Source organism: Homo sapiens, chromosome 11 (assembly GCF_000001405.40).
Source record: "Homo sapiens chromosome 11, GRCh38.p14 Primary Assembly".
Classification (NCBI taxonomy): Eukaryota; Metazoa; Chordata; class Mammalia; order Primates; family Hominidae; genus Homo; species Homo sapiens.
The window spans coordinates 5,479,411-5,501,597 of NC_000011.10; the positions used below are offsets into that span (position 1 = coordinate 5,479,411).

At 39.9% G+C, this 22,187-nt stretch overlaps 2 protein-coding genes across 3 annotated transcripts in view; one reads left to right on the forward strand and one right to left on the reverse strand.

Annotated features, from left to right (window-relative positions):
- The window catches only part of OR51B5 (olfactory receptor family 51 subfamily B member 5), a 165,335-nt gene that overhangs the window by 139,093 nt on the left and 4,055 nt on the right, over window positions 1–22,187 (reverse strand). The window lies entirely within an intron of this gene.
- Window positions 9,275–10,339, forward strand: OR52D1 (olfactory receptor family 52 subfamily D member 1). Its single transcript, NM_001005163.2, has one exon. The coding sequence runs from the start codon at window positions 9,297–9,299 to the stop codon at window positions 10,251–10,253; it is 957 nt and encodes a 318-aa protein (NP_001005163.1). The 5' UTR covers window positions 9,275–9,296; the 3' UTR covers window positions 10,254–10,339.

Below are 22,187 nucleotides of genomic sequence, written 5' to 3' on the forward strand. Positions count from 1 at the left end.
CAAAATGTAAAGACCATTCAGACTAGGAAGAAACTGCATCAACTAACGAGCAAAATCACCAGCTAACATCATAATGACAGGATCAAATTCACACATAACAATATTAACTTTAAATGTAAATGGACTAAATGCTCCAATTAAAAGACACAGACTGGCAAATTGGATAAAGAGTCAAGACCCATCAGTGTGCTGTATTCAGGAAATCCATCTCATGTGCAGAGACACACGTAGGCTCAAAATAAAAGGATGGAGGAAGATCTACCAAGCAAATGGAAAACAAAAAAAGGCAGGGGTTGCAATCCTAGTCTCTGATAAAATAGACTTTAAACCAACAAAGATCAAAAGAGACAAAGAAGGCCATTACATAATGGTAAAGGGATCAATTCAACAAGAAGAGCTAACTATCCTAAATATATATGCACCCAATACAGGAGCACCCAGATTCATAAAGCAAGTCCTGAGTGACCTACAAAGAGACTTAGACTCCCACACATTAATAATGGGAGACTTTAACACCCCACTGTCAACATTAGACAGATCAACGAGACAGAAAGTCAACAAGGATACCCAGGAATTGAACTCAGCTCTGCACCAAGCAGACCTAATAGACATCTACAGAACTCTCCACCCCAAATCAACAGAATATACATTTTTTTCAGCACCACACCTATTCCAAAATTGACCACGTACTTGGAAGTAAAGCTCTCCTCATCAAATGTAAAAGAACAGAGATTATAACAAACTATCTCTCAGACCACAGTGCAATCAAACTAGAACTCAGGATTAAGAATCTCACTCAAAACCACTCAACTACATGGAAACTGAACAACCTGCTCCTGAATGACTACTGGATACATAACGAAATGAAGGCAGAAATAAAGATGTTCTTTGAAACCAACGAGAACAAAGACACAACATACCAGAATCTCTGGGACGCATTCAAAGCAGTGTGTAGAGGGAAACTTATAGCACTAAAGGCCCACAAGAGAAAGCAGGAAAGATCCAAAATTGACACCCTAACATCACAATTAAAAGAACTAGAAAAGCAAGAGCAAACACATTCAAAAGCTAGCAGAAGGCAAGAAATAACTAAAATCAGAGCAGAACTGAAGGAAATAGAGACACAAAAAACCCTTCAAAAAATCAATGAATCCAGGAGCTGGTTTTTTGAAAGGATCAATAAAATTGATAGACCGCTAGCAAGACTAATAAAGAAAAAAAGACAGAAGAATCAAATAGATGCAATAAAAAATGATAAAGGGGATATCACCACCGATCCCACAGAAATACAAACTACCATCAGAGAATACTACAAACACCTCTATGGAAATAAACTAGAAAATCTAGAAGAAGTGGATAAATTCCTTGACACATACACTCTCCCAAGACTAAACCAGGAAGAAGTTGAATCTCTGAATAGACCAATAACAGGAGCTGAAATTGTGGCAATAATCAATAGCTTACCAACCTAAAAGAGTCCAGGACCAGATGGATTAACAGCCAAATTCTAACAGAGGTACAAGGAGGAACTGGTACCATTCCTTCTGAAACTATTCCAATCAATAGAAAAAGAGGGAATCCTCCCTAACTCATTTTATGAGGCCAGCATCATTCTGATACCAAAGCCAGGCAGAGACACAACCAAAAAAGAGAATTTTAGACCAATATCCTTGATGAACATTGATGCAAAAATCCTCCATAAAATACTGGCAAAACGAATCCAGCAGCACATCAAAAAGCTTATCCACCATGATCAAGTGGGCTTCATCCCTGGGATGCAAGGCTGGTTCAATATACGCAAATCAATAAATGTAATCCAGCATATAAACAGAGCCAAAGACAAAAACCACATGATTATCTCAATAGATGCAGAAAAAGCCTTTGACAAAATTCAACAACCCTTCATGCTAAAACCTCTCAATAAATTAGGTATTGATGGGACGTATTTCAAAATAATAAGAGCTATCTATGACAAACCCACAGCCAATATCATACTGAATGGGCAAAAACTGGAAGCATTCCCTTTGAAAACTGGCACAAGACAGGGATGCCCTCTCTCACCACTCCTATTCAACATAGTGTTGGAAGTTCTGGCCAGGGCAATTAGGCAGGAGAAGGAAATAAAGGGTATTCAAGCAGGAAAAGAGGAAGTCAAATTGTCCCTGTTTGCAGATGACATGAATGTGTATCTAGAAAACCCCACTGTCTCAGCCCAAAATCTCCTTAAGCTGATAAGCAACTTCAGCAAAGTCTCAGGATACAAAATCAATGTACAAAAATCACAAGCATTCTTATACACCAACAACAGACAGAGAGCCAAATCATGAGTGAACTCCCATTCACAATTGCTTCAAAGAGAATAAAATACCTAGGAATCCAACTTACAAGGGATGTGAAGGACCTCTTCAAGGAGAACTACAAACCACTGCTCAAGGAAATAAAAGAGGATACAAACAAATGAAAGAACATTCCATGCTCACGGGTAGGAAGAATCAATATCATGAAAATGGCCATACTGCCCAAGGTAATTTACAGATTCAATGCCATTCCCATCAAGCTACCAATGACTTTCTTCACAGAATTGGAAAAAACTACTTTAAAGTTCATATGGAACCAAAAAAGAGCCTGCATCACCAAGGCAATCCTAAGCCAAAAGAACAAAGCTGGAGGCATCACACTACCTGACTTCAAACTATACTACAAGGCTACAATAACCAAAACAGCATGGTACTGGTACCAAAACAGAGATATAGATCAATGGAACAGAACAGAGCCCTCAGAAATAATGCCGCATATCTACAACTATCTGATCTTTGACAAACCTGACAAAAACAAGCAATGGGGAAAGGATTCCCTATTTAATAAATGGTGCTGGGAAAACTGGCTAGCCATATGTAGAAAGCTGAAACTGGATCCCTTCCTTACACCTTATACAAAAATCAATTCAAGATGGATTAAAGACTTAAACGTTAGACCTAAAACCATAAAAACCCTAGAAGAAAACCTAGGCATTACCATTCAGGACATAGGCATGGGCAAGGACTTCATGTCCAAAACACCAAAAGCAATGGCAACAAAAGACAAAATTGACAAATGGGATCTAATTAAACTAAAGAGCTTCTGCACAGCAAAAGAAACTACCATCAGAGTGAACAGACAACCTACAAAATGGGAGAAAATTTTCACAACCTACTCATCTGACAAAGGGCTAATATCCAGAATCTACAATGAACTCAAACAAATTTACAGGAAAAAAACAAACAACCCCATCAAAAAGTGGGCGAAGGACATGAACAGACACTTCTCAAAAGAAGACATTTATGCAGCCAAAAAACACATGAAAAAATGCTCATCATCACTGGCCATCAGAGAAATGCAAATCAAAACCACAATGAGATACCATCTCACACCAGTTAGAATGGCAATCATTAAAAAGTCAGGAAACAACAGGTGCTGGAGAGGATGTGGAGAAATAGGAACACTTTTACACTGTTGGTGGGACTGTAAACTAGTTCAACCATTGTGGAAGTCAGTGTGGCGATTCCTCAGGGATCTAGAACTAGAAATACCATTTGACCCAGCCATCCCATTACTGGGTATATACCCAAAGGACTATAAATCATGCTGCTATAAAGACACATGCACACGTATGTTTATTGCGGCATTATGCACAATAGCAAAGACTTGGAACCAACCCAAATGTCCATCAATGATAGACTGGATTAAGAAAATGTGGCACATATACACCATGGAATACTATGCAGCCATAAAAAATGATGAGTTCATGTCCTTTGTAGAGACATGGATGAAATTGGAAATCATCATTCTCAGTAAACTATTGCAAGAACAAAAAACCAAACACCGCATATTCTCACTCATAGGTGGGAACTGAACAATGAGATCACATGGACACAGGAAGGGGAATATCACACTCTGGGGACTGTGATGGGGTGGGGGGAGGGGGGAGGGATAGCATTGGGAGATATACCTAACGCTAGATGACGAGTTAGTGGGTGCAGCGCACCAGCATGGCACATGTATACATGTGTAACTAACCTGCACAACGTGCACATGTACCCTAAAACTTAAAGTATAATTAAAAAAAAAAGAAAAGAAAAGAAAAGAAAGAGTAGAAAGTACAGCTAAAAAAAAAAAGAAGAGAAAAGGAAGACAAGGAAAGAAGTGAAAAAGAGATCAGAATAGAGGAAAAGACAGGCTAGCTGTTTAATTTCAAATTCCCTTGAAAACTCACTGGAAAATTTCCCTTGCTCATTTTTTTCTCAATTATCAACTGCTTCTTATCTTTCCCTCAATAGATGGACCACAGATCAAATCCTTAGGGGATGCCACCTGGGTTTTCCCACCTGCACATCACAGAAAGTCAATAAATAACCCCGTTTACCAATCCCCTTGACTAGAGGAGGCAGAAATACAGAGCTGAACTGAAGACATTAGCCCAGAAAACTGAGAAAGGACAAGACATTTCAACACGAATTACACATTCAGACCCTCCACTCTCTCATACCATACTCCCTTGAACCTGCAGAGAAACACAGCCTTCACTTCCCTAAACAAAACTTTGCATCCAGACACACACCTCCTGCCAAAGCCACTGCACCACCACACTCTTTCTCCCACACAGTTTCACCCTCATACACACACCTTTACACCGAGGTCCAACTTCTGCATGCTCCACCTGCAAACTCATGTCTCTTGTGCAGGTAAGTTCTTGAAATCAGATTCCTCAGCAATATGTTCAGTCAATGAACTCACAGCTAAGTTACTGACATCTAGGTGTAAGATGGGGACCCAGACACAGGATCCTGCAACAAGTTAGGAAGGGTGCCTGTATTGTGAACCTAAATGATACTCAAGTTCAATATCGTTTTCCCACTGTTTTCTAAAGGGAAATAAATGGGACCTGCTCCTGCCTCAATCTTTCTGGTCCACACATCCTTAGATAATCACAGAGTAGCAGTTACCTTACAACAGTTATTTTAAAGCTTTCTTAGAGGGCAAGAATAGGCCAGAAAGAAAGGAGAAAAGAAGATGGTAGTGATTCCAGCTCTCTAGACTCTGTCGTCCAAGCTTGTTTCCCCTATTAACACAGGTCAGTGCCAATGCTGAGCCCAAAACCATCTAGTGTCATCACTAAAAAATATCAGTGCAATGCATTATGATAATATCTAATTTTATATAGTACTCCACAAAGACATGTGTTCACTTGATCTTCCCAATACTTCTGTCAGAAGTAGAGGAGGACTTGTCTTCTTCGGTTTACCAATGGGAGAGGTTAAATGACCTGCCCAAGGACACAAAGCCAGGAAGTAGCAAACCTGGGCCTTGGCCCTTGTCTTTGAACAACAAACCCGACGGTATTACCACAGTACCAACTTGCCTCTGGCTAAATAAACAAACATTACATATGTATTATTTCAAAATATTATTATGGGCAATGTGAGAATAAACCTGCCTTTTAAAAAAGTTTTTATGCTCCAATACATGTTATACAGTATCAATATTCTTCATAGCTTTATAGGTTTTGGTTGATTTTAGCACTTTCAGATTTGACAAACTGGCATTATACAGATTGGCTACTCTTTCTCTGGCAATGAAAAGTACATCATCTACATAACCTGCAAAGAATATGGTACCCTAACTATGATTTCAAAAGAATAAGTCAGAAGCAGATTTCCCATCATAGCACCCCTCCACCAAAGGTGATGGAAGGTAGATCTCTGCTGTTCTCCCCTTCACTCTTAGCCCAGCAAAAGAAAAAGGATAAAAGAATACACAGTACACAAATCCTGCAAAATTTTACCAAAGCACATATGACATAAAAATAACCTTCCTCTCACGTTTTCTAAGTGCATCAAAAAGAAGGTTAACAGTAATAATATCAAGAATTGAGGCAACGTTCAGAAGTTATAATAGTGAGAGCTCTAGAAATAGATGTATCTTTCCCACAAAAAATGTGTTAATTGTTTCTCCAGCTATTCAGCCTTGCATCCCTGGTGCCGTCAGCATAAGCACCTGATGGACTCTGCTTGGGCTGAGCAATGAATTTGAGCCTGAACTTGCAGATCACCAGCAATGTGATTTCTCCCTTAAGGATCCCCCTCCAACTCAGAGTGAAAGTCAAAGTCCCTTCTGTGGCCTAAGGATCTAGCCTATCTTGCCTATGCTCCTTGCACCCCCACTTCTAGTCCTCCAGCACAAAAGCCTCTTTGCTGCTTCCAAACCCATCAGGCAGGCCTATGTCTCAAAGCCTTTGCACTTGCTGTCCCCCTGTCTGAAATGTTCTTCCTTCTGAGATCTGCATGGCTAGCTCTTTTGACTCAAGGCTTTGCTCAAATACTACCTTCCCAGCAAAGATTTCCCTGGATGTCTGTTACAGGCTGAATTGTGTTGGTCTCCACACCCCCAAATTCATATGTCAAGGTCTTAATTAACCCTCAGCATCTCAGAATGTGACTGTATTTAATGATAAGATCTTTAAAGATGTGATAGTTTTTTTAAAAAATGTGGTCACTAGGATGTGCCCTAATCCGATATGGCTGTTGACCTTTTAACAAGGGGAGATGAGGGCACAGGCAGAGAGGGAAGACCAACTGAAGACACAAAGGGGGGTCATCTACAAGGCAAGGAGAAAGGACTCACAAAGAACCAAACCTGCCAACATCGCGATATCAGACTTCCAGCCTCCACAACTGTGAGAGAATATGTTTCTGTTATTAAACCTCTCAGTCTGTGGTGCTTTGTGGTGACAGCCCTAGCAAACTAATACAATGCCCTAATTAGAATTTACCCCACTCCCACTACCTCTTTTTCTTTCTGTTTTATTTTTTCAAAGTCCTTATCATTATCTAACATATATTTTACTTCTGCATTTTGTTTGCTATTTATCTGCCTTTGCTAAAATCTAAGCTCTTTCACGGCAGGGATTTTTGTCTGATTGTTCATTGCTGTTACCCCAGTTCCACACAGTGACTGGTCCATGGTATGTGCCGCTAAATACTGTTGGGTTACTGGAGACCTGAGGAGGAGGAGAGGGAAGAAATGTGGGGGCATGTGACACGAAAATGTAAGACTCTGCTTTGGGAGAGCTTCTCTGGAAACTTCTTGACTCACTTCTGAGATTGAGCAGCCACAAGCAGCTCTTTAGCTTCTAAGTTTGCCTAAGACATCTACAGAGCACACAATGGGCATCCCCGCCCCTGCATTCATCATTGTTTCCAGTCTCTCCTCTGCATTTTAAACCAAAGCAGAGGGTAGGAAGGCAGATGAGCTAAGTGTCTGGGCTAGATAGGAACCTCTAGCACAGCCCTGCACTGGCTGATGCCCATGACTTTTTGTTTGCTCTGTATCTTTTGTCTCATAACTTCCTAAACACCATCGGTCATCAGTTATCTTTACTGCAGTAAAATCGTGTTTCTTTGTATTACAGTCCTAGGTGCTCTGTTATGGTAGGAATCAATAAGATGCCTCCTGTTCTTACAAAAAAAAAAATCTCAATGCAAATAAAGGGGACTTCCTAATTCCACCTCTTTGGAGCTAAGATAATGAGTAAAGATACTTCAGCACTAGGAATTGATATTAGACAAAAAAGATATTAGCCTCATTTGAAAGAGATAGGAATTCAAGTATTGGACTTATTAATGGACAGTAGGGTGAGGCAAAAACGCCAAACTCTGAATCAAGGGACATGAGACCTAATCATAGTTCTGCAAATAAAATGCCTCGTGATCTAAATTATATCAGTTCACTTCTCTGGGATTGGTCTTTTCATTGGTTAGGGATGTAAATGATAACTGTACTCTCTTTTATCGAGAGTATATGTTGTTAAAATATAAATATCTTATTTTTTTAGGAAAAAATAGGGGAATTATTCTGGGTATACAAATGTTTAATTCCATGAATAGTCATCTTTTGTCAACCACAAAATTTTGTGAAGTTAGGTCAGATGGTGTCATTCCCAATTTAAAGATAAAAACTAAGCCACAAAAAGGCTTTGGAATTTTTTTCAATGCCACATAGTGAGCAGACAGAAAATCAGAGAATGACTACATTCATTGCCCTTTCTAAATTGAGACTGTCCAGATAAGTAAGAGATTTGTTCAAAGTCACAAATCAATAATGTTACAGAATCGGGGCTAAAATTCAGATTTCCTGGCATTTCTACTCAGAATTCTTTTAGGGATACATGTTACTGAGACAATGTGTATAATACTAGCTATCCCTCTACAGCAAGAACAGAATCCCCTTCCAGTCCCTTTATGGGTGGTAAATCCAGAATACCTCACTTTTTATATCTGTCTCTAATAGCACTTGCCATTCTGATCTGACCTCACAGCCAGCCATTATAGTGGTGGATTGGAGGACTATACGCTGGCTTTGTCATGGTTGAGTGCAGTATCCTCAACAAGCATATCTGATTTACCTCACACTTCCTTCTGGTATACCCATGTGAATGCTCAAATTGCTGTATATATTCAATCATGATATGAAAGCATATTCAGGTTGCCTAGCCTCTTCATAGGCACTTCAGATGATATATATATACAAAAGTGATTTGGTGTATATTTGGCACATAACAAATGCAGAAAAAAAGTTAATGCATCATTATATCATTAATTTAAAACATCAATGCCATGTTACTAAGAATGATCAGAATTTAGTCTTTATTGAAGTTGTCAAAATGTCTAGGTACAAATACAGTCATGGGCAGTGTAGAGGTTACGGTTGCATAAAGACATAGTTCTAACCCAGCAGAATTTTGTAAGATAGTGGAAGTAGGAAAAATACAAAATTAGAGATTACCAAGACCAGTTTAGAAAGGGAAGGCCTCTGGGAAGCAGGGAAACTTGTATTAAAACTTAATAGAGAGGAGGAAAATAAAGGAATGAGACTCCCTAGGTAAGAGAAAAGGCATGAATGAGAGGTAAGAAATATCCCATGATGTGGATGGACTAGAGGTCAATAAATGATGTGCAGGATATGGAGGGAGATAAGTCTGGAAAGGTCAGTTTGAGAAGACTAATAAATACTTAGCTTGGTGCTTTGGATATAGAACTCAAAACATCATTGTTCAATATAGAAATTAGCAGAAGGTTTTAAAATGAATTATATGTGGTAGTCATTTCAGATGTTTGTACAAGTGAAAAACAAATTTTTTTAGTCTAAAAAAGATTATTTCACAGAAAGATCTTTGTTTTACATAAATCAACCAAATATCTGATGTTACAGGGCAAGCATAACAATACTATTCAGAAAGAGCCCTTCATTTGCCAGGAAGAATGTCAGATTCCAACCTCAGTGATAACCATCTTCCAGACACCTTCTTCTTAACAGGGATCCCAGGGCTGGAGGCTGCCCACTTCTGGATTGCCATCCCTTTCTGTGCCATGTATCTTGTAGCACTGGTTGGAAATGCTGCCCTCATCCTGGTCATTGCCATGGACAATGCTCTTCATGCACCTATGTACCTCTTCCTCTGCCTTCTCTCACTCACAGACCTGGCTCTCAGTTCTACCACTGTGCCCAAGATGCTGGCCATTTTGTGGCTCCATGCTGGTGAGATTTCCTTTGGTGGATGCCTGGCCCAGATGTTTTGTGTCCATTCTATCTATGCTCTGGAGTCCTCAATTCTACTTGCCATGGCCTTTGATAGGTATGTGGCTATCTGTAACCCATTAAGGTACACAACCATTCTCAACCATGCTGTCATAGGCAGAATTGGCTTTGTTGGGCTATTCCGTAGTGTGGCTATTGTCTCCCCCTTCATCTTCTTGCTGAGGCGACTCCCCTACTGTGGTCACCGTGTCATGACACACACATACTGTGAGCATATGGGCATTGCCCGACTGGCCTGTGCCAACATCACTGTCAATATTGTCTATGGGCTAACTGTGGCTCTGCTGGCCATGGGACTGGATTCCATTCTCATTGCCATTTCCTATGGCTTTATCCTCCATGCAGTCTTTCATCTTCCATCTCATGATGCCCAGCACAAAGCTCTGAGTACCTGTGGCTCCCACATTGGCATCATCCTGGTTTTCTACATCCCTGCCTTCTTCTCCTTCCTCACCCACCGCTTTGGTCACCACGAAGTCCCCAAGCATGTGCACATCTTTCTGGCTAATCTCTATGTGCTGGTGCCTCCTGTACTCAATCCTATTCTCTATGGAGCTAGAACCAAGGAGATTCGGAGTCGACTTCTAAAACTGCTTCACCTGGGGAAGACTTCAATATGAATGCTGAGCAGAAGTTGGAGATTTAAAAAAAAGTGTAGGATGGCTGTCTAGATACATTTACATGGACACACAGTGATGATGTGAAAGGAATGGTATGACATGGCAGGAAGCTCTGGAAGGAAGAGGAATAGCCAGATGAATCAGAGCTATCAATTATCACACTGAACATACTATTTTCCTGAGGCTCCTTGGGGAACTCTGAATACCCCAGAAAGGTGATAATATTCTCACACTTGTCTTAAAAGTGTCTGTGACTTACTAAGGAGAAAGTCAATTCCTGGTCTTCAGAGGCATCTGGATTTAAGAGTAGGAATATTCTCCTGTGACTCCAAGTGAAAAACAAAGAAAAGGTTTGGAATGAATTTGAGTCTGAATTCCACCACTTTGAATATTGACGTATTGGTTAAAAGCACAAAGTATAAAGTCAGAGTGCCTGCGTTTGAATCCTGGCTCCTCTACTTGTGACCTTGAGCATGTTTGAAATGTTTCTGTGCCTCAGTTTGGCCAACTGTTAAATGGGGATAAAAATAACATCTAACTTTGAATGTTGTAGTGAGAAATAAATAAGTTAGAAAAATTAAGACAGTGACTAACATGTACTCAATAAATGAATATAAAATGAGGAAGTTATGTAACCTCTCTAAACGTTACTAGTAAAGACACTTATATAAAACTTTTTTTACATTACCTCACATCACAGGGTTATTGTGATAACAATTCTATAATATTTTTAAAGTGCTAGAGATATGACTGGTACTTAATACAACTGTATATTCTTTCACTCCTCCCACACTCATCCATTTTGAGGTCTCTTTCCTTTTAGTTATAAGGTTATCCCTTATTAAGAATTCAGGGGAGCCAGCCCCAAATCCAAGTTCCTTTTTTAATAATAATGCTTTAGTAATCTCAGTTCTGAAATAAATAAGTCCAGCCATCTCCTTCCAACTGTTCAAAGAGATGATTGTTGTTATTTGCATTATAAATTAAAAGCCTGTCATTCAGGGAGACTAATAGCCTAAGGTTATGGCATTTATTGACAATATCTCATACACTGTCCAGTATTTTATTATGGGAAGATTATGAGATCTGTGTGCAGATGACCATGGACTTCCTTATCTACTAGCTGCAAGAATTAGGGCATCCCACTTTACTGCCCTCAGCATTAGTGAAGTGTTTATTATAATCTCAGGAACAAAGCAAGCATTCAATTCTGACTGCTGGCAGTTGGTAGTATTCAGCTAATAATTTTTAAATTTATAAAGGTATGCTAGATTTTATAGCTGCATGGCTTAATCTGCAGTGTTCATTTATTTGCTTTTGAATTGATAACCATTTTAATACTTCATCAGACTAGGCATTTCATCTGTGCCTTGCACATAATTAATAAGCACTCAAAATATTATGGGAAAAGTGTTAGAGATTATACTGGTATGTATCATAGTCTTAGTTGATTTAATGAATAAATACTGTCTTCATTATGCTAATGTGTAGGGTAATGAAAATATATGTCTACACAGTGTCTGGCACACAGTAGGTACTCAGTAATTTGATTCTTGTTTATTCATATTACACTGAGGCTGTTCAGATACAGTCACATCCACAAGAATCATGACGAAGAGTATTTTTACCTAGAAAAGCAATTACAAGAAAAAGTATCACAAGTTCATGGGTAAGACAACAGGGTAAGTGTCAGCTGTGGCCATGGAGAGCTCCTAGTTCAGTTGTGGAGGTAAATTCATGCACAAGGAGCTGTCACAGGTCAGGGACAGTCATGTCTTGGCCCAGAGAAGCTCAGAGGAGAATGATCAGAGGGGTGGAACAGATTGGAAGAGGAGGAGGTACCAGGCAATGGTGCAGGAAGGAGACAGCAAAGAGGATTACTGAAAGAGCTTGAGGAAGCTGGGGGTGATTACATTTCGAGGGGGCCTCAAAAGCCAGGCCCAGATAAGAAGACACGGGCAGCCCTTACAAATAAGTCAGGCTCCACTGAAATAGTGATGGATCAATCTCAATCAATTGTTACTGAAGTTTGAAGTAAAGCAATGCAAATGACTAACACAGAAAGGCAGAATTTCCCAAAGTGAAACTTCCCTGATTACCAATCCCAGTGTACAGCATCATCTTTCCCTAAAAAGGCATGAAATATGGTTTTACCTATGCACTAAAAAGAAATTCAGCTTTTGAGTATAGATAGATGTCACCAGCCCTAGAGCATGTGCAAATCATTTAGACTGCTGCATGAACCTGATCCTGCTAGAGCCTTAAACAGTCCTTCTCCTGGACCACTTTGAGAAATGAGTTCACAGTTTGGCACATAAATCAGTGCAACTGCCAAATTGCAAAGAAGACTTAACCTCAGAATCTTGACCTATTAGGTAAATTTGTTCCTTTATCCCCAAGTCTAGCTGTTTCAATTTGTGCTGAGGGAGACTCTCTTAATTCAATTTTAAGTAATTCAGCACTGGTAAGGCCCTGAAGAACTACCCTGCCAAGTTCTCCCCAATTCCATAGCACATCTCCAGAACCAGAATTCACCTCACCCCACCAAGTCTGTCTCTCTCACAAAATAAACACACACACACACTCACTCACACACATTTTCTTGTATATGTAGAATTCAAAAAAACAAAAAATAAATTCTTCCCTCTGAGCTCTGAAGAAACTCACCCTGTTTTCTCTTTCTTCCATCTCACTCCATGTTATTTGACTTTATTGTGATGTGCTAACAATGGTTCTCAGCAGCAGAGAGACACTCAATTTGCTCTTATTATAAATATATTAATAGATAATTTCTTCATTGTGATTTAGATTATTCTCTTAATTTTTCTCTCTGAGACTCTAAATTCCCAAAGAGTTGGAACTTAATTGGTCCCTTTCTCTGTGTAAAGGCAAGACAAGACACACTTTCTGTTCACCTGTTCCAAGGGAATTGATTGATTCTGACTACAGAGCAGCATAGAGCCAAGATTACCAACTCTGGAATCCAAGAGCTCTGGTTCCTACATCTTTGTTAATCAGGCGGGAGTACAGTGGCACAATCTCGACTTACTGCAACCTCTGCCTCCCAGGTTCAAGCCATTCTCCTGCCTCAGCTTCCTGAGTAACTGGGATTACAGGTGCATCCCACTACATGGCTAATTTTTGTATTTTTGGTAGAGACAGAGTTTCACCATGTTGACCAGGCTGATCTCGAACTCCTGACCTCAAGTGATCCACCCACCTCAGCCTCCCAAAGTGCTGAGATTACAGGCATGAGCCACCACACCCAGCCAGACTCTCTTTGTTATTTGCTTTAAACAGCAACAGAAACAAAATTAATGTCTTTATCTGGAAACATGTTTAACATCAGTCTGATCCACCGTTGAAAAATCCTACCGTTTGAGTTTGATAAAGGAATATGGCTGAATGGAAAAGACATTGATCCTAAGAGCTAGCTTAGGAAATATTGATTTCAGTCACCTATCTTCCACTAAATTGCTGTACACTGGCCATGGCCCAGCCAAGGCCTCGAGTCCTTGTTCATATAGGAACAGAATGAAGATATGTATAATTAGTCCACCCCATCTCACTGGGGTCTGAAGGCAGCTTGCACTTCTGAGACCTCAAGCTTGAGAAATCGATCTACCTGATTCTAAAGAGACATCATCATGTTCCCCATATCAAGGTTGAGAAATCGATCTGCCTTTTTCTAAAAAGTCATCATCATGTTCCCCTCTCAAGTTTGAGAAATCTATCTATACCATTCTAAAAAGACATTATTTTCCCCAAGAACTTATAAAGTTTCTCTCAGATAAATAAAGAATTATCTCAACTCCGAGAATCAGAGCTGAGACATGAGAAATCATAAGAAGGTAACAGTTTGAGTCTAGGTCGGTTAAACTTAACAACTATTAGATTTAAGGTATTAATATACCTGACAAGGAAACTTGTCACTTAGGAGAAAATATATTTCAACTGTAAAAGCAGAAAATAGTAAGTCTCCAAAGAACTGTGTTGACCACTCCAGGCCAGAGGAGCCCTAGGGTAAAGTCATATCTCTGCAGCAATTATTTTTATGGTGGTGGATGCATCAGACTATCTTAGGTTTAAACCATTAATTGCTACCATATACTTAACTTTTCTGATTCTAGAATTTTCAATGACTAAAAAATTAGGATTTGGCTGCCTAGAATGACACCTCCAGAAGATGATGTTAGACATAAGTGACATGAACATTTAGATCCCTCTGCAATTACCTTGTTTATCATATATTCATATATATTTTTACATTGTAATTTGTTTTAACCAGTATATCTAGGATACAACCAATATTAAGACTTGATACTTTGTAATTTCTGAGTTTGAAAGAACTTCCCAGCCAGCGGATACTTCACAGACTGAGCCTCATAGCTGGCTGTCAGCCAGCCAGACTCAGCATAACTTCTACCATACAAGTATTGCTAGCAAAACCAATTCATCTGAAAATTCCCATTGGGTCATCCCCAGTGGAATCAGATATCCAAATTAAAGTTTCTGGCTTTGTTTTAGCAAATGCATTAATGTGTGGCAAGAAATAACATTATTCCAGGTAACAATTATTCAGAACCACGTTTGCATGTCTCATGGTTCCAGGCATTATTTTCCCCCTCATAGACTTTGAGGTGAACCATTTCTTTGTCTCTTCCTCTGTGGACTTTATTGTCAGTACCTGAATGTCTCCTTCCCAAGCATCACATGACGGCCTTTCCCAGTCCACTTACATACTTGTCTCTCTTAAGGCAGGAGCTCCGTCCACATTACCCACTGAGTTCTTCATTCAGCACAGGAACCATACTTTATCTTTCTGGAGGAGCTGACATCTTCTGAATATTTTACGTCGTGTATATATTCCTTTTAGAGTTATAAAATAAAGTAACAATAATCAACTTGCCAATAAACTATTTAAGGAATATAAAAAAGGATTCTGGACTTTCTGGAGTGAAACAAGCCTGGTTTAAATCCCGCTGCCATCACTTCATAACCTTCAACAAGTCATTTTCCCTTTTTAAGACTGTGTTTCATCATGTATGAAATGATATTTTCTCAAAGATTTATTTTGAAGATTAAGGAGTTTATTCCTATAAAGTATAGGCCAAAATGCTTGGCACAGAGCAGATGTTTATTAAATATTATTATTTCAATACAAAAAATCTTTGGTACATCTTGTGGTCAGGTTGGTAACTGGATTGAGAAACAGAGAACAGATAGGTCTGTCAGGGCTGACCAAAGGTTCAGGGACATTTTTAACAGCAGGTGATATGGACAACTCCAAACATACCACTGGAGAAAGTATGGTATCCAGAAAAACCTTCTGTCAGAAGGGACATTAGCAACATAATGAAGTAGAAGTTTCCAGCTGCTATCCCCCTAGAGAAACACCAATTTTGCCAACTACCCATAAACAAGAATACCTTTGTGGGAGCCCTGGAGTCCAGATGAGAGGTTCTAGCACTACAGTGGAGAAAAATATTCAAGAGTGGATGCACTGAACGAGTTCATCACCACTAGACCAGCCATACAAGAAATGCTGAAAACAGTTCTTCAAGTTGAAATGACAGGACTATAATTAGCAACATAAAAATGTATGAAAGCATGAAACTCACTGGTAAAGGTAAGTATAAAGTCAACATCAGAATAATGGTGTAATGGTAATGTGTAACTCACTTTTAATCTTAGTATAAAAGTTAAAAAAACAAATTTTAAAAATATCTATATGATAATTTGCTAAGGGATACACAGTGTATTAAGTTATAAATTGTGACATTAGTAACACAAAATGTGTAGGTGAGGAGAAGTAAGTAAATGTAGAGTTTTTGTATGCAATTTAACTTAGGTTATCAGCTTAAAATAGACTCATGTTTTATGCAAGCTTTATGGTAATTACAAACTAAAAATCTGTAGTAGATACACAGAAGACAAAAATAAAGAGATCAATGCATATCACTACAAAAGAAATCATCAAATCAAAAAGGAAAACAAGAAGAGAGGAAGAACCAGGAGCTACAACACAGTCAGAAAACAATTAACAAAATAATGATAGTAAGTCCTTGCCTATCAATAATCACTTTAAATTAAATAGATTACATTCTCCAATCAAAACATATAGAGTGACTGAATGGATAAAACAAGATCCAACTATATACCGCCTGCAAAAGACTCACTTTAGCTTTAAGGACACGCATAGGCTGAAAGTGAAGAGATAGAAAAGTTATTCTCCATAAAATTTGTAAGCAAAATACAGCGTAGCAGGGTGGCATATTGCAATTTTTTTTAACTTCATATGTTCCTGATACCTTAACCTCTCCATGAACAGACTCTGAGCAACCCACCCCTCACCAAGTTACCAGGTACACCGGTGTGATAAGTCTGGTTCCTGCCACAAGTTCCTCTTCTTGCCTTCCCTGATTGTGACCTAGTGATATTCAAATGTACCAGTAAAATCCCCTCATGCTTCTTGCTTGTGTAGTCCACGTTGACTCTCAATGGAGGTACCTGCCCATGGGTTCACATTCTCTCTTGGCTCTCCTGCTTGATGGAGCCTGTTCCCTAGGAGTTCTTCTCATAGGGCCCCTTGCATGGCATGCCTCTGGTTCCCTCTAGAAACTGTGATTATAAATTTTTATCTCTTATGCATTTCTGAGTGTGATTTCCATGCCTTGTTGTAATGATTTGAATTGGCAACAAAAATGCGATCATTCCAAACTCCAGTGAAATGTCCCTCAGAGATGCCCTTTCACCGCTCATGGTTTAATTGCCTAACTACATAGGGCTCTACTGTTTTGGAGGCCTTTCTACTCCGATGACATTCTTGTGTACTGCCTTGCATGGCTTTGTATTACCTCTTCTGAATACTGCCAAGAATCCCCTTCCTAAAGTCTAGATCCTGTCCCAATCCCGATAACACACTCCAGGATACTGCATTCCAACTTGATCCCAGCAAGAGGGGGAGCCTCTTTTGAATTGGCCATGTGACTTGGCTGTTTTTCAGTGCACCTTTGAGTGATTATAATTTGAGGAATATCCCCTGACACTAGAAGTGGAGTTTCCCCCATCATAGGGTCATGGGTGTATATATTGCTGAATGCTAGCTGGAAAGCTGAGGGAGCCAGTAGGCTGCAGTAGACGTACGTGATGCTGCCTGCTCTCAATAGCACTTGGGAGAAGAAGATAATTCACTCTCCTCCCTCCAAGAGTCAAATGGTCCTCCTCCCGAGGATAGTCCTAGACAGCACTTCATTAGAGTCAATGCTGCTGGGACCAGTGGCACCTTCTCTGCTGCATCCTTGTAGCCATTGCTCATTGGTCTCCAACCCCATGGGCTATCACAGATCCCATCCACAGAAGATGGTGAATCAATGTTTAAAAAAAAAAAAAAAAAAAAAAAGAGAGAGGAAAGGAAAGAGAGGAGAAGGAATTCTTTGATCTTGTTTCTCCTAAGACACTTGAAGATGTTTCTCAGCTCATTGTAAATTACACTTCACCTGGTAAATGCGTTGAGTACTTTTAAGTGCTGGTACATATTGACATGTTAATAATCTCTTCCTTAAAGCCTGACCAACATGGTAAAAGCCCGTCTCTACTAAAAATACAAAAATTAGTGCAGGCCTGTAATCCCAGCTACTCCAGAGGCTGAGGCAGGAGAATCGCTTGCACCTGGGAGGCAGAGGTTGCAGTGAGCTGAGATCGCTCCATTGCACTCCAGCCTGGGCAACAGAGCAAGACTCCGTCTCAAAATAAATAAATTGTCAAACAATAAATAATTTAAAAGACAAAATTGAGTCCACTATTGGTGATGTAGACCCCCAGGCTCTCTAAGGTTGATTGGGACACTCTAGAGAGGGTATCCATCAGAACACTTGGGACTACCAGGATCTCCTCAGGTAAGCATTCAAAGAAAACAGAGATTAAAAATAAAAAACAAGTTGAGGGGTAGAAGGACTGAGTATCCTGTGGTTAAGGTTGCTGCCTAGAGACACTGGGTCCCTTCCTTTTTCTCTTGTCAGTCAAAGACAGAACATAAAGACAACTACAGGTGGCTAAACTCCTATTTTAACAATCTCTCACCACGTTTGCCTCCACCTTCAAAAGAACTCAATACACCTTTTGCCAGCTACCCATGGAGTTTCTCAGCAGCTTTGCCATCACACACAGTCTTAGCAGAGAGGCTCTTAACTATACACACCTTTCTCCAGGAGCATAGGTATGACATCACATTCATAGTATCCTCTTCCAAGGAAATGCATTTGACACGTTTATTAATGGCATGAAACAACTAATGACTGGTTACCTACTGGACTCTCCAGGAAATAGGGGCTCTTACAAACTCTTAGCATGTGGTCTTCCACTCCCACCTGCCCATTATGTTTTGGGTTTTAAAAACTAACCTTCACAACCTTGGCACAGCTAGTGAGGCCTCCCTAAGACAGTATGGAACCAAACTTGAGCCCTATAGGATATTCCACCAGCAGAAGAGGTAGCTTCCCCTGTTCTCAGTTCCTTGCCAAATGCCATGGTGCTGGAGGAGGTCACCCTTCCCTAAACCCCTTAGCTATCTTTGGCGATCCTTGGGATTAGCTGAGTGAACAGCAGTGGTAGTTCCTGGACTATGCCAATGGCACTGCTAACCATGACAGGTGATAGAGCTTAGTGGAATGTTGCTGCTTTCCATCCATTAGCCAGGATGTCCCTAACAAAGGACAGGACCCAAGAAACATCACACTTAATCTTAATCTTAAGGCAGTCACCTTAACACTGGATGCCCTGGCCAACAAATGGTCCTGTCTTCATATGTATTATAAATTATTGGGCCATTACCTACAAATTGTCTTCTTCAAGGTAAAAAAAAATCAACATATTAGAATCTCTTGCTCACGAATATACCCAAAATGTAAGTCAAAACGATATTAGTTTCAGTATGTCTCCTTATATACCAAGGTCACAATACAAGGCCTTGCCAAAACCCTCATTCCCTTCAGAGTTACAGACATTACTAATTGTAACCAAGATACACCCTTTACTTCTTAAGATACACCATGCATGCTGGGTCCTTGGGAAAGGCATTCAATAGAACTTTCGTGTTCCTGACAGGTCCCAGGTAACAGATTTAATAGACAAACATGATGACCTCCTGAAAAATCTCCTCTTTAAATTCCAGTCTGACCAATAAGCCTCTAAATGAGTTTCTGTTTTGCCACAGGCCTTATCCTATCTTTATAAATTTTCAATCTTACCCCCATTCAATAAGGGCTGGAGGCCAGATGAAGGGCATGTACTCTCCTGGGATGCATTAATCATAGATTGTCCCACAGGTCAGGGAGCTATTATTCCGACATGGGACACATTTGAACATAAAACTTTCCAAGAAAGTACAAGGCTGCAAAGGCAGGGACTGAACTTCTAGAATGAAGTTCAAGTTGACAGGGAAATTAGGGGATGACAGGGCACAAAGTTCAACTGCTTGACCTTCTGACCTAGGTTTTCTTAAATGATGTCTATGAAAAATTGGCCCCAGTGCCTCCCTATCCTGTTTTAATGTGGAGATATGATAGTACAGCCATTCAAAATAGCATTTAAATTGTTAAGCTCAAGCCTTTGGTTACTCTTTGACCTATTTCTGTGAATAATTCTATCTCTGTGAATTTATGAAAACAGGATTTATAAATTTGGATCAGCTCTGGGCCCCACTCTTGTTTCTGTCTGCACAGTAGACCTGGATGATACCATTCATGGCTTTCAGCAACACCCACAGATACTTAGGAACAGCAACTCTACATCACTGGGTTAGACAAATAATCCAGTATTTTTTATATTCCTCTGAATATGCCCAGAACTTAAACTTGTCATCTCCACTTGAAGTCTAACAGGGACCTCAACTAGCAGGGTCAAAACAGTATTTTTTATATTCCTCTGAAAAGCGTCTTCCTCCAGTTATTCTCCTTCTTAAAGGCCACTATCCTCTTAACTGCACAAGTCAAAAAGCCTTCTGTCCCATGTTAATTCCATCAGCAAGCCCTTTCTACCAAGCCTTAAAAATATGTCCTGAATCTATCACCCTATCAGTACTGTTATGACACAAGTCTAAACAATCTCTTCCCTGGACTTCTGCAGATCCAAGTACTAGCTTGTCAGCTTCCACTCTTGCCCTCACCACCCACTGCCAACTTAACAGCCAAGGGAAATGAGTTCATTTCACTATCTTAATTAAATTCCCATCTGTGACTAGGACTCCCGTGGTCCTGATAATACAGTAATGAGAACATGGAATATGTAATCTACTCTGCAAAGAATTGCCTTTTATTTTGGCAAATAGGCTCTAGAGTGCTGATGTGATCCCTGCCTAGCCTAGGGGTATAAGAGACAGTGAGCTCACAATCCCGGCCCTTTGACCTGCTAGACCATTTTGCAAAGGACACAGTGACCAAATTATGTGCACCTTTGTGAGAATTATGGAAGCAATGGGGATCTACGCCCACCTACTCTTCTGTGTATTTAATTTCACATAACTTTTGCCCTGCTTCTTTGCTCTTGCAGTAGTAAACCCAACTGAAAGCTACTTGAAACCGTTCTAAATCACCATGCTCACTAATATCTATCTCAGACCATAGTGCCCTATGTGATCTGAAGTATATAAGTAAAAGGATTAACAAAACTCCTCTGTTGCATGAGAATCTGATTTTCAGTTAAACTTACTGGCTCTGTTTCCCTGAAAAACAGACAACTGTAAAATACCAATTATATTGCTAGTGTGAAAACTGTCGGTACCAAAATGGAGTCATTCATGTCAAAATCAAACTAAATGGAGCCAGAAGATCCATTTAGTTTGGGACCTTCATAAAAGGAGGGTCCTCATGTATATTTGCCTGATAACAAGAACTGTCATAAGAGACTCTGCCAAAACCACACCTTGCAATTAAGCCGCTTCGACGAGGACATCTTTCCAGTAATAGTCCTAATTGCGGCCTTGCAAGTAGCTTTACTAAACCACAACCCTGTAGTCATGTCACTTCTATGAAGACCCACTCCTAACTATGGTCAGTGCACATGTCACCAACTGTGGGAAGCCCCTATGACCAATGAACTTTTGTTTCAAAACGACCTTCATATACTTCTCCTTTTTGCCTTTAAAAGTTTCCCTTGCCTCCACCTCCCTGAATATGCCTATGATCTGTCATAGCATGCATATCCCAGGTTATAGTCCTGTTTATTCCTGAACAAAGTAATTTATTTGGGAAGCTTGTCTCTCTGCCATTATTTTAGGTTGACACTAGGCAGCATTGCCTGTGATAGAAATGACCCTTGATTGGCAAACTTGTCTGAATGGGAAGAAGTTATAATGAATCATAAATACCTGTTGGAGATTCCATAGTTTGGGCAGCCCTGAGTTTGGGGAAATTATAATAAGGCATTTCTTGCAGAGTCTAGAACATAGGTGTATGGAGGGCTGAAAAGCCTGTTAGCTACTATGGGGCACCAGGACTTAACCTGCAGCCTCTCTCTGACTTGCCTGATACAGATTTTGACTCCTTACACCTGGGAGAAAATGACTTCTGGGTGGCTATACTAACCTATGCCTGGGCTACAATAAGAACTCCCACCAAAAGAGGAATGCCTGATTCTGCCCTACTGGTGATTTTTGCTTTGTTTCCTGTGTCCTTCGAGTAGATTCGGGCTAAATGTGGCTTACGATAGTCTTAAAAGTTTATTTAAATAAATCAAATAAAATCCTGATGGGAGTAGCAAAAGTTACCTTCTTATTATACTCAGGATAAAATCCAAGTTCCTTGACTAGCTCTAAAGCCTCCCATAGTTGCACTCCTGCCTGTTTCCTTGACTTCCTCTTGCTGATAATTTTCCTCTTGTCTAAGAAGCTTGACCACACTGGCTTCTCTTCTCCTTCTAGAACACACCAAGCGCCCA